Source organism: Homo sapiens, chromosome 2, assembly GCF_000001405.40.
Source record: "Homo sapiens chromosome 2, GRCh38.p14 Primary Assembly".
In the NCBI taxonomy this organism is placed as follows: Eukaryota; Metazoa; Chordata; class Mammalia; order Primates; family Hominidae; genus Homo; species Homo sapiens.
Window position 1 is genome coordinate 185,424,290 of NC_000002.12, and position 10,830 is coordinate 185,435,119.

At 36.4% G+C, this 10,830-nt stretch overlaps 1 long non-coding RNA gene across 1 annotated transcript; it reads left to right on the plus strand.

The window, feature by feature from the left end:
- The first annotated feature begins 1,148 nt into the window (after positions 1 to 1,148).
- On the plus strand, positions 1,149 to 10,002 carry LOC124907919 (uncharacterized). The gene is made up of 2 exons (XR_007087379.1): positions 1,149 to 1,218; positions 9,808 to 10,002. It is a non-coding gene; the product is annotated as an uncharacterized LOC124907919 (long non-coding RNA).
- Positions 10,003 to 10,830: the final 828 nt, after the last annotated feature.

Consider the following 10,830-nt stretch of genomic DNA (forward strand, 5'->3'; position numbering starts at 1 on the left):
GCTCCTTTAAGCACTTCTCTGTATTGGTTATTCTAGTTATACATTCTTCTAAATTTTTTTCAAAGTTTTCAACTTCTTTGCCTTTGGTTTGAATGTCCTCCCGTAGCTCAGAGTAATTTGATCGTCTGAAGCCTTCTTCTCTCAGCTCGTCAAAGTCATTCTCCATCCAGCTTTGTTCCGTTGCTGGTGAGGAACTGCGTTCCTTTGGAGGAGGAGAGGCGCTCTGCTTTTTAGAGTTTCCAGTTTTTCTGTTCTGTTTTTTCCCCATCTTTGTGGTTTTATCTACTTTTGGTCTTTGATGATGGTGATGTACAGATGGGTTTTCGGTGTGGATGTCCTTTCTGTTTGTTAGTTTTCCTTCTAACAGACAGGACCCTCAGCTGCAGGTCTGTTGGAGTACCCTGTTGTGTGAGGTGTCAGTGTGCCCCTTCTGGGGGGTGCCTCCCAGTTAGGCTGCTCGGGGGTCAGGGGTCAGGGACCCACTTGAGGAGGCAGTCTGCCTGTTCTCAGATCTCCAGCTGCATGCTGGGAGAACCACCGCTCTCTTCAAAGCTGTCAGACAGGGACATTTAAGTCTGCAGAGGTTACTGCTGTCTTTTTGTTTGTCTGTGCCCTGCCCCCAGAGGTGGAGCCTACAGAGGCAGGCAGGCCTCCTTGAGCTGTGGTGGGCTCCACCCAGTTCGAGCTTCCCAGCTGCTTTGTTTACCTAATCAAGCCTGGGCAATGGCGGGCGCCCCTCCCCCAGACTCGCTGACGCCTTGCAGTTTGATCTCAGACTGCTGTGCTAGCAATCAGCGAGACTCCGTGGGCGTAGGACCCTCTGAGCCAGGTGCGAGATATAATCTGGTGGTGCACCATTTTTTAAGCCCGTCGGAAAAGCGCAGTATTCAGGTGGGAGTGACCCGATTTTCCAGGTGCCCTCCGTTACCCCTTTCTTTGACTCGGAAAGGGAACTCCCTGACCCCTTGCGCTTCCCAAGTGAGGCAACGCCTCGCCCTGCTTCGGCTCGCGCACGGTGCGCGCACCCACTGACTTGCGCCCACTGTCTGGCACTCCCTAGTGAGATGAACCCAGTACCTCAGATGGAAATGCAGAAATCACCCGTCTTCTGCGTCGCTCACGCTGGGAGCTGTAGACCGGAGCTGTTCCTATTCGGCCATCTTGACTCCTCTCTGCCGGACTTTTCTTTAAGAAAATCTTCTGCCACTGTTATAAAAGGTAAATTTAAGTGGAAATCTTAAAACTGTTATGTTGGCAATTATATCAAAATAATGTAATAGATATTTCATATCTCAGCGCAAAGAAAAAGCTTATTACATTCTTTCAGTCAATTAATATGCACATTTAGATTTTGTAAAGAATGATGTGCCTTATATATTTACAGTGACTGAAATATTGAAAAAGAAGTATGTGCAATAAATTATTAGGCGATTATTGATCAGTTTTTAAATAGGGGCTTCAGTACCATTATTAGGGAAATGCAACGACCTTTGCAGTACAAAGAAGCTTTACATTTTTATTTTGGTGTTAGGCTTGTAAGGCCTTGGTTTATACAAAGCCTTGATTTCTTCTTCATTGTTTCATCCTTTTTAGATCCTCTCTTTGTCAACACACTGCTACAGCAGCAACTAATGATAGTTATTAAAATGTGTCCAAATTGTAGAATATCTGCTATAGTAATATGGTTCTAAAGGATTTTTAATAATTGAAGAGGCAACAACTTTCTCTGGCTCTTGGGATGATCTGGCTAAATTTCAAAGGGAAAATTACATTCTGTCTGTTGCATTCCCTAGTATTTTCATGTGTTTGGCAGGCTCTTTAAAAACAAAATAAAAACAAATGAAATAAAAATAAAACAGAAACCACAGATTCGCCATGTAATAGAGATTCACAAGAATGCTTTTGTACGGTATTATATTTGGCTTCACAAAAGATGTGTACACCTCTGCTGAACATGTGCATCTTAATGAAGGATTAAGAGTAGATTTCTTCGAGAATTTGGAAAAATTTTTTTATGTTATCTAAATAGTGCAATTGGGGTTCTATGAGTAAATGTATGAACAGCTATCTGTGTATATCCTTTTACTAAGACTTGAGAAAAAAAACAAACACTGAGTGAATTAGGTATGCCGTAAAATCATCAGTTCTGTACATAGGAAGAATTGGTAACTTGGATCCAGGAAACACACCCATCATCACCAATATCATTATCTCATCTTCCAACCTGCATTGCTCATATTATGCATTTTAGCATACGCATTATGAACAGAAAAAAAGCAAAGGTTACTTTCACTGAGCAACATTGAGATAGAGTTTCTTTTGGACACTTAATTTTGTATCTGTTTCTCTTTTTTTGAGCAGGCTCTATAATAACAAAACTGAAGTCACAGACAAATCCAAGCTTTTAATAGGAAGTAAAAAAGACATTTATTCTATATCTATATCAACATTCTATAGAATTCAAAAGTATTGTTTCTCTGTGTTCACCTCTAGCAAGAAATTTTCTTAAAACACTAAGGACAGTTAAAAAGATTCTATGTATAATATAACCATGAATATGAAAAGCTTTAAAGAAATCTAACCTCATTTGTTAATGCTTTCATGCTTTTATAAGTAATGGAATATCAGAAGATTATAAAGAATTATTTGGGAAGCCCTAAGGCATGGTGAGGGAATATTTCTCTATTAGGGAATATTAGCTCTAATGGGTCACACGTCATGTGGAAAAAGCAGGATGTAAAACTGCTTTTGCTTTATGACAATACCGTAGGGCATCTCTCCCATACTACTTTAGGAATACTTTTAAGAGATATTTCACTGGGCTTTGAGAAGTAAGCTATATTACCTCCCTGTTGAAAAGATGAGGGATAGTGAGATTGGAAGGTTAAATGGTTTGCTTACCATCTCATGCTGTTATTGGCAGACGAAATATAGGGGAATAGCCTCTGGACTTTAAATCTGTTGCTTAGCTACTGATCCACAATAGCTCCCAATTGACTTGAACTACAGAGTACTAGAGAATTTGAAGATTTGAAAAAGATCATACCTCAACAGAAATAAAAAGTGAAAAGTTCTATCAACAGATTGTTCTATACATAAATCACTTCATCACTCTCATCGAATAGATTCATGTATTAGTATATTCATTTTTTAAATTTTCATGACATCATAAATACATTGCTAGGTGATACTGTATTGTAAATATATATTAGAAAATACCTGCATAAGCTCTTCTCAATCTTTTTCACGTATATATAGAGAGGAAAATTATTAAGTAACCTTCATATTTACTTATCCTCAGTTGTGACAACAAAAGCCATGTCAACTGTCAGGTGATATATATTGTCATGCACCCCAATCTACCATATTAAAAAATTAAAGTGGAATTCGTACTTTTTTTATTTTTCAAAAAGGAAGTGTATCTTAATTTAAAGTAGTATATTTTAATTTAAAATATGCAACATCAGGTAAAATTTGGTTTGGGTTAAAACAGTCTGATCAGAAAAATGTTTTGATTTCTATTATTTCCCCTGCCCCCCAAAATACAGATGGTTTTAATGAATTCATGAATGTTTGCTTAATTATTTCACTGACCACATCTTAAAAATAAAGTCTCTACCCTTCTCATTTTGTTTTGATGAGTAAGAGTTGGTGGTAGAGAAGAGAGCAAAGATCTCTCCCACCTGCAAGTGTACATCTTGATTATACAGATGATATTTTGATCTCCACTATGACCTGTTTGACTTCCTTTAATTGCCCTATATTCTATTTCTCCACATGGAAAAACACAAACCTCCTTGGTGATGGTATGGAAAAGAGCCTTGTAAGATGCAGGCTGTTGGATTGCTCAGCTCCAAGACCAAGTTACACTGAGTACCAGAGGAGAGAGCTATGCTTTTCTGAGACCATGATCAGAAATAGCAGTCCCAGAACATTCAAGATTACTTGAATATGCAACTTTGCTGAATTGACTGTAGTCAGTGACTGAAGAATTCATTAGTACTCGGAAGCACTCTGGTGCTTGCAGACTTCAAGAACTATTTTTATACCCAAGCTACAATAATTTGTTTAGACCCTCAGTCTCCTCCCTAATACTGTCTCTAGGGTCACAATGTGTTTACTTTATTTGCAAGTGTGTTTCACAGTTGCACCTGAAAGCCCCATTTCTAGAGCATTCCCTCCTTAAAAAGAACCTACACTTTGTTTAAGCTCCTCCTGAGTTTCTCTCATCTTAAAGCAGTGTTTGCAAACATATAAATTATGTAATTTCTCCTTCTTCATGTATGTACATTTTTCATTAGGTCTTCATGAACTCTCTACATTTCATGAATTTGATGGCTTTTATTCATGTGTTTCTCCTAACTTAGCCTGATGATTTCCAGTGTTATATCCTCCACCCCTCATTTTTTTCTAGATTAAGTGGTGCCCTGTCGACATACCCCATAAGAATCATCATCAACAACAACATAACTAGAAATAAGACATTAATATTATACCCATACACAGTCAAAGCAATCGTAAAGAAATAAAATCTGTTGTAAACATCTTGTACTTTGGGGACAGGAGTTTAAGATTAAATATACTGATTTGTGACATTTATCTGATTTTAGTCTACAATAAGTTGTGCTCATTCTATTTTTAAAGTATCTATGTTATTTCACTTAATGAAAACATAAAGATGGGTATGATAGTTCATAGTGAGTGTCATCTTGATTGGATTGAAGGATACAAAGTATTGATCCTGGGTGTGTCTGTGAGGGTGTTGCCAAAGGAGATTACCATGTGAGTCAGTGGGCTGGGGAAGGCAGACCCACCCTTAATCTTGGTGGGCACCATCTAATCAGCTGCCAGCTCAGCTAGAAGATAAAGCAGGCAGAAAAATGAAAAGAGATGAGACAGGCCTAGCCTCCCAGCCTACATCTTTCCCCTGTGCTGGATGCTTTCTGCCCTCAAACATTAGACTCAAAGTTTTTCAGTTTTGGTACTCGAACTGGCTGTTCCTGCTCTTCAGCCTGAAGACTGTCTATTATGGGACCTTGTGATCATATAAGTTAATACTTAATAAACTGTCTTTTATATATATATATATTCCATTAGTTATGTCCCTCTACAGAACCCTGACTAATACAATGGGTTAGGTAAAATTATGTCTTAGCTGAAGAAGCAATTCTCATATAATCGAGACAGACATCTCTCTTTCTAAGTAATATAATTTTTGAAATTATAGTAAAATGATACACTGTTGAATTTTAAGAGTATACTGAAATAAATGACATTAGTATAATGAGTAAAATGACATCTATGATAAGTTTAGCAGAACACACTGCAAATTAGCACACTATTAAATTGTAATATTATCAAAATTCAAATAATTCAGAAATAATATATTTACAAAATTAGATAAATTTATCCAATCTCCGCATTTATATTTTTTATTTTTTAAATTTCTTATAATTGGATACAAGTAGATCTTATTCATGTACTTCTGTACATTTATTTTAAAAGTATAAATATCTGAAATAAATGAGAGGGTCAAAGCAGGTTGCCAAGATTATAATAGCACATGTAGGGAGCTAAAAACTCATTAAAATATGCCATTAACTTGCTGTTTCATCAATCAAAGGGTAAAATAGGCAAAAGGAAAATAAAACATATATGTGCCACTTTTTAAAATAAACAATCACATTTACTTTCATTAACAATTAGAGAAACACTATCATTCTATACCTCTCTCTCCTGTACTGTTTATGACTGGAGTTGGTAGGGCTTCATACAATATGGAGACACTCTCCTTTTTTGTTAAATTGGTTTTAGTTCCGAAGAATTGACACTTCTTAAACTCTCTCTAGTAATACATTTTTTTCTCCCTAGTGATCCGTCTTTCTCTTTTCCAGGGCTTACTTGCTGTCTAATACACTATAACCCCTGAGGATGAAATGGCCTAAAGACAAACAGTTTATTTTTATAGAACTGGGAGTCCTGGTGTGTTCATCCAAAAATTCTTGAGAAATAAAAACACAGTATAATTTATAGCCCCTACTTTAAGAGCAAATTAAGTTATCAAAAATATGTACCTTAGATAGCTTATATGTAAATAAAATTTTTATATTATATTATGGTTTTATTTGTAAAAACCTGTAAGCATAGAGTATTTCTAATTGTGGTAGAAAATAAAGAAGTGCTAAAACAACACTTAGTGTGTTTAAATATCTTGGTACACAGTCATCAATGTTTTATTTCTTTTTTTTTTTCAAAAACTACCAATTTATTTCAGAGAATGTCCTGATAATGCTAGAATGTAAAAATTTTTGAGAAACAGTGTTACAGCAGCTTAAATATCTTATAGTCAAAGATTATGCTATGAATACCTAAATCACATATTTGCCTCACTAGAATGGAAAAAAGAGAAAACAACCAAAATTAATTAAGTCATATGTAATAGGGGCTCATATCACCTAATACACACCAGTATGGATATTCTGGTTGAACGATTATTAAAATAAGTCTGAACAGTTTGGTAAATAACTGTGGCTCTGAGCAAGCTGTGTGTCCCTCTTTCCCCAGATATCTGTTTCTAATATTCCCCCATTTGATCCAGCAAAAGATGGGTTAATGACTGGCACAGTATGTGGTTCCTAGAACCAGGGCTCCCAGTGCAAGGCCAGTATCATTCTCTTTGGCATTTTGCCATACCACTTGATAGATATTGTCACTCTGTAATCAAGCAATGTAAAATCTGTCACAACGTAACTCTGTATAATTAGTACGATAAATCATTCTTTTGTTCATAATGAAGTTTACTTCATCTCACAACAATATCCCTACGTCCAAGTCTCATCCAAATTGTTACCAATCAACTTGGAGAAGCATGTCATGCAACAATGAATTAGGGGAGATGTTAGAGAGAAGTGAGAGTCTTTCTGAAAAACATTGTTGGAAGCTTTTTATAGGTAGTACATGGAGTACTGGGCACCCCTCAACTGGATTCCCTTAGAGCAGGAGTCCCCGAACCCCCAGCTGCGGACTGGTACCAGTCCATAGCCTGTTAGGAACCCATCCACAGAGCAGGAGGTGAGCTGCAAGTGAGCGAGCACTACTGCCTGAGGTCAGGCGAGGGATGTAGGTGGCCTACTCCTTATGAGAATCTATTGTCTGATGATCTGAGGTGGAACAGTTTCATCCCGAAAACATCCCCTTATACCACCACCTCCCCTTCTGTGGAAAAATTGTCTTCCACAAAACTGGTTCCTGGTGCCAAAAAGATTGGGGACTGCTGCCTTAAAGTCACATCTTAAATGAATGTAGTATAGTATCGAACCAGGAACATGACATTGTAAATGGCATTGTGTTTTAATTTGTTTCCACATATTCATGGCTAGTATAAAAATATGATGTCGTTTTTGTTTTGGACCTTGTATCTTGTGAACTTGAAAACTCACTTTTTATTTCTAGGTGTTTTCTTCCAGATTCCTTGGGATTTTCTATATATATCATCTATCTATCTATCTCACTTTAAAGTTGAGACAGATTTATTCCTTCCTTTCTAATAGGTATGTCTTTTTTTCTTGCCTTATTATGCTGGGTAAGAATTCCTCTACTGTGTTAAATAAAGTGGTGAGAGTGGACACCCTTGCCTTGTTTCCTATCTTAGGAGAAAATAATTCAGTCTTTCACCAGTACGTATGATGTTAAAGTGAATAAGGTGAATGAGCATAAGTGAGCTCTAAGTTTTTTTATAGATATTATTTATCAAATTGAAGAAATTTTACTCTGTTTCTAGTTTGCTGAGAAGTTTTATAATTAACAGCTGTTGGATTTTATCAAATTTTGTTTCGCAACAATTGATATGATCTTGTGCTTTTTCATTTATTATTTCATTGATATTATGGGTTACACTGATTAGTTTTCCAATATTGAAACAGCTTTGCATTCTTGGAATAAACTGCACTTGATAATGGTGTATAATTACATGCATATCCTGCTAATTTTGATTTGCTAGTATTTTGTTGAGAATTTTTGCATCTAAGTACATGAGAGGTATTGGTCTGTAGTTTTCTTTGTCCTGTGATGCCTTTGTCTGGTTCTGTCATCAGGGTAATAGGGTTCTCATAAAATGAGCTAGAAATGTTCCTTGTATTTTATTTTCTGGAATAGATTGTTTGGAATTGGTGACAATTCATCTCTAAAAGTTTTGTTCAGTTCTCTAGTGAAATCATATGGGCCTGTTTGTTTCCAATGATACTTTCTTGGCTTTTTAAAAGCTTTTTAATTGTGAGTTAAATTTCTATTTCATATGTATGAGTTTGATAGTTTGTAATTTTGAAAAAATTGGTTCATTTCACCTAAATTGCCAAATTCATAAGTGTAGAATTGTTCATTGCTTTTCATTATTACTTTTTTAGTGGCTGTAGAATTTGTAGCTATACCTTCTGTTTTTATTCCCGATATTAATAATTTGTATTTTTTAATCTTAGTCTCTCTAGAAATTTATTAATTGTATTGTCCTTTTCTGGAAACCATTTTTTTTGTTTAGGTGAGTGTATGGTTTTTCTCTTGAGGCATATTTTAAAATACAGTGTGTCTATTGATTACTTATGTATTGAGGAGATGGTGTTCTTTAACTTTTTTTCCATTATTTTGCCAGGTTATTGAATAGCTAACTCATTTTTTGTGGTTTTTTTTTTTTTCTAATTTTGACTTTTATCTTAGAATCAGGGAGTACATATGCAGGTTTGTTACATAGGTTTATCATGTGATGTTGAGGTTTGGGGTACAAATGATCCCATCACCCAGGTAGTGAGCACAATATCTAACACGTAGCTTTTCAGCTCTTGTCCTGCTCTCTCTCTCCCACCTCTAGTGGTCCCCAGTGTCTATTGTCCCCATCTGTTGTTTTTTTTTTGTTTTTTTGTTTTTGTTTTTTGAGACACAGTCTCCCTCTGTCACCCAGGCTGAAGTGCAGCGGCAAAATCTTGGCTCACTGCAACTTCCACCTCCCAGGTTAAAGCAATTCTCCTGCCTCAGCCTCCCAAGTAGCTGGGATTACAGGCATGTGCCGCAATTCCCACCCAATTTTTTTTGTATTTTTCATAGAGATGGAGTTTCACCAGTTGGCTAGGCTGGTCTCAAACTCCTGACCTCAAATGATTCACCCGCCTCGGCCTCCCAAAGTGCTAAGATTACAGACATGAGCCACTGAGCTCAGCCAAATGTTCCCATCTTTATGTCCATGTGCACCCAATGTTCACTTTCCATTTGTAAGTGAGAACATGTGGTATCTGGTTTTATGTTTCTTCATTAATTCACTTAGGATAATGTCCTCCAGCAGCATCCATGTTGCCACAAAGGACATGATTTTGTTCCTTTTTACGGAACATAGTATTCCACAATGTATATGAACCACTTTTTCTTTAATCCACTGTCAATGGGTACCTAAATTGATGCCATGTCTTTGCTATTGTGAATAGTGCTGCGATGAACACACAATTGCATGTGTCTTTTTTGTAGAATGATTTATTTTCTTTGGGTATATACCCAGTAATGGGATTGCTGGGTCAAATGGCAGTTCTGTTTTAAATTCTTGGTAAAATCTTCAAACTACTTTCCACAATGGCTGAAATAATTTGCATTCCTTCCAAAAATGTATGTGTTCCCTTTTCTCTGCAGCCCTGTCAGGGCCTGTTATCTTTTGTCTTTTTAATAACAGCCATTGTGACTGATATAAAGTGGAATGTAATTGTGGTTTTCATTTGCATTTCTCTGATGGTTAGTATACATGAATTTCCTCCTGCCTCTATCACCCCTCAGACAGCAAGATCAATCACTCCTCTTCCACATCCTCTTACTGTGAAGATAATAAGGTTGAAGACCTTGATGATGATCTACTTTCACTTGAACAGCAAGTATATTTTCTCTTTCTTATGATTTTCTTAATAACATTTTATTTTCTCTAGCTTACTTTATTGTAAGAATATGGCATAGAAATAAATGTACCATACAAAATATGTGTTAGTTGACTGTTTATATTATTGGTAAGGCTTACCATGAACAGTAGGCTATAAGTAGTTAAGTTTTGGGGGAGTCAAAAGTTATACTTGGATTTTTGACTACATTAGTTTTACGTGCCCATAACCTCTACATTGTTTAAGAGTGAACTGTATTTCATTTTATGGGTTCTCTGAAATTATTTATATGATTAGGTTTACTTATTTGAGCTGATAGGAATCTCAGAGTCAAAATTGTGCCCCATATTTAATAAAGTGTGCAAGATCTATGGCATGCATCTTGGAGATAACTTTATCCCTGCTTTATCTTTTCCCCATCTTCATTTCATGATTTTATCATAATTTTTTAATACTTGTATGAGAGTTCTCCAGAGAAACAGAACCATTAAGGTGTCTATATTTGCCTGTCTGTCCATCTATATCTATCTATATCTATATTATCTATCTATCTATCTAATCTATCATCTATTTATTTTAAAGAATTGGCTCATATAATTATGGAGGCTTGTAAGTCCAAAATCTGTAGGGTAGGCTGGCAGGCAGGAGACCCAGGAAACATTGGTGTTGTAGTTGGAGTCTGAATGCTGCCTGCTGGCAGAATTCCTTCTTCTTTGAGGGAAGTCAGTCTTTTCTTTTTGAAAAGGAAACCTTTTATTTTAGGTTCATAGGTACATGTGCAGGTTAGTTATATAGGTAAATTGGTGCCATGGGGCTTTGTTGTACTGATTATTTCATCATCCAGGTACTAAGCCTAGCACCCAATTGTTATTTTTTCTGATCCCCTTCCTCCTTTCTCCCTCTACCCTCAACTAAGCCCCAGTGTCTG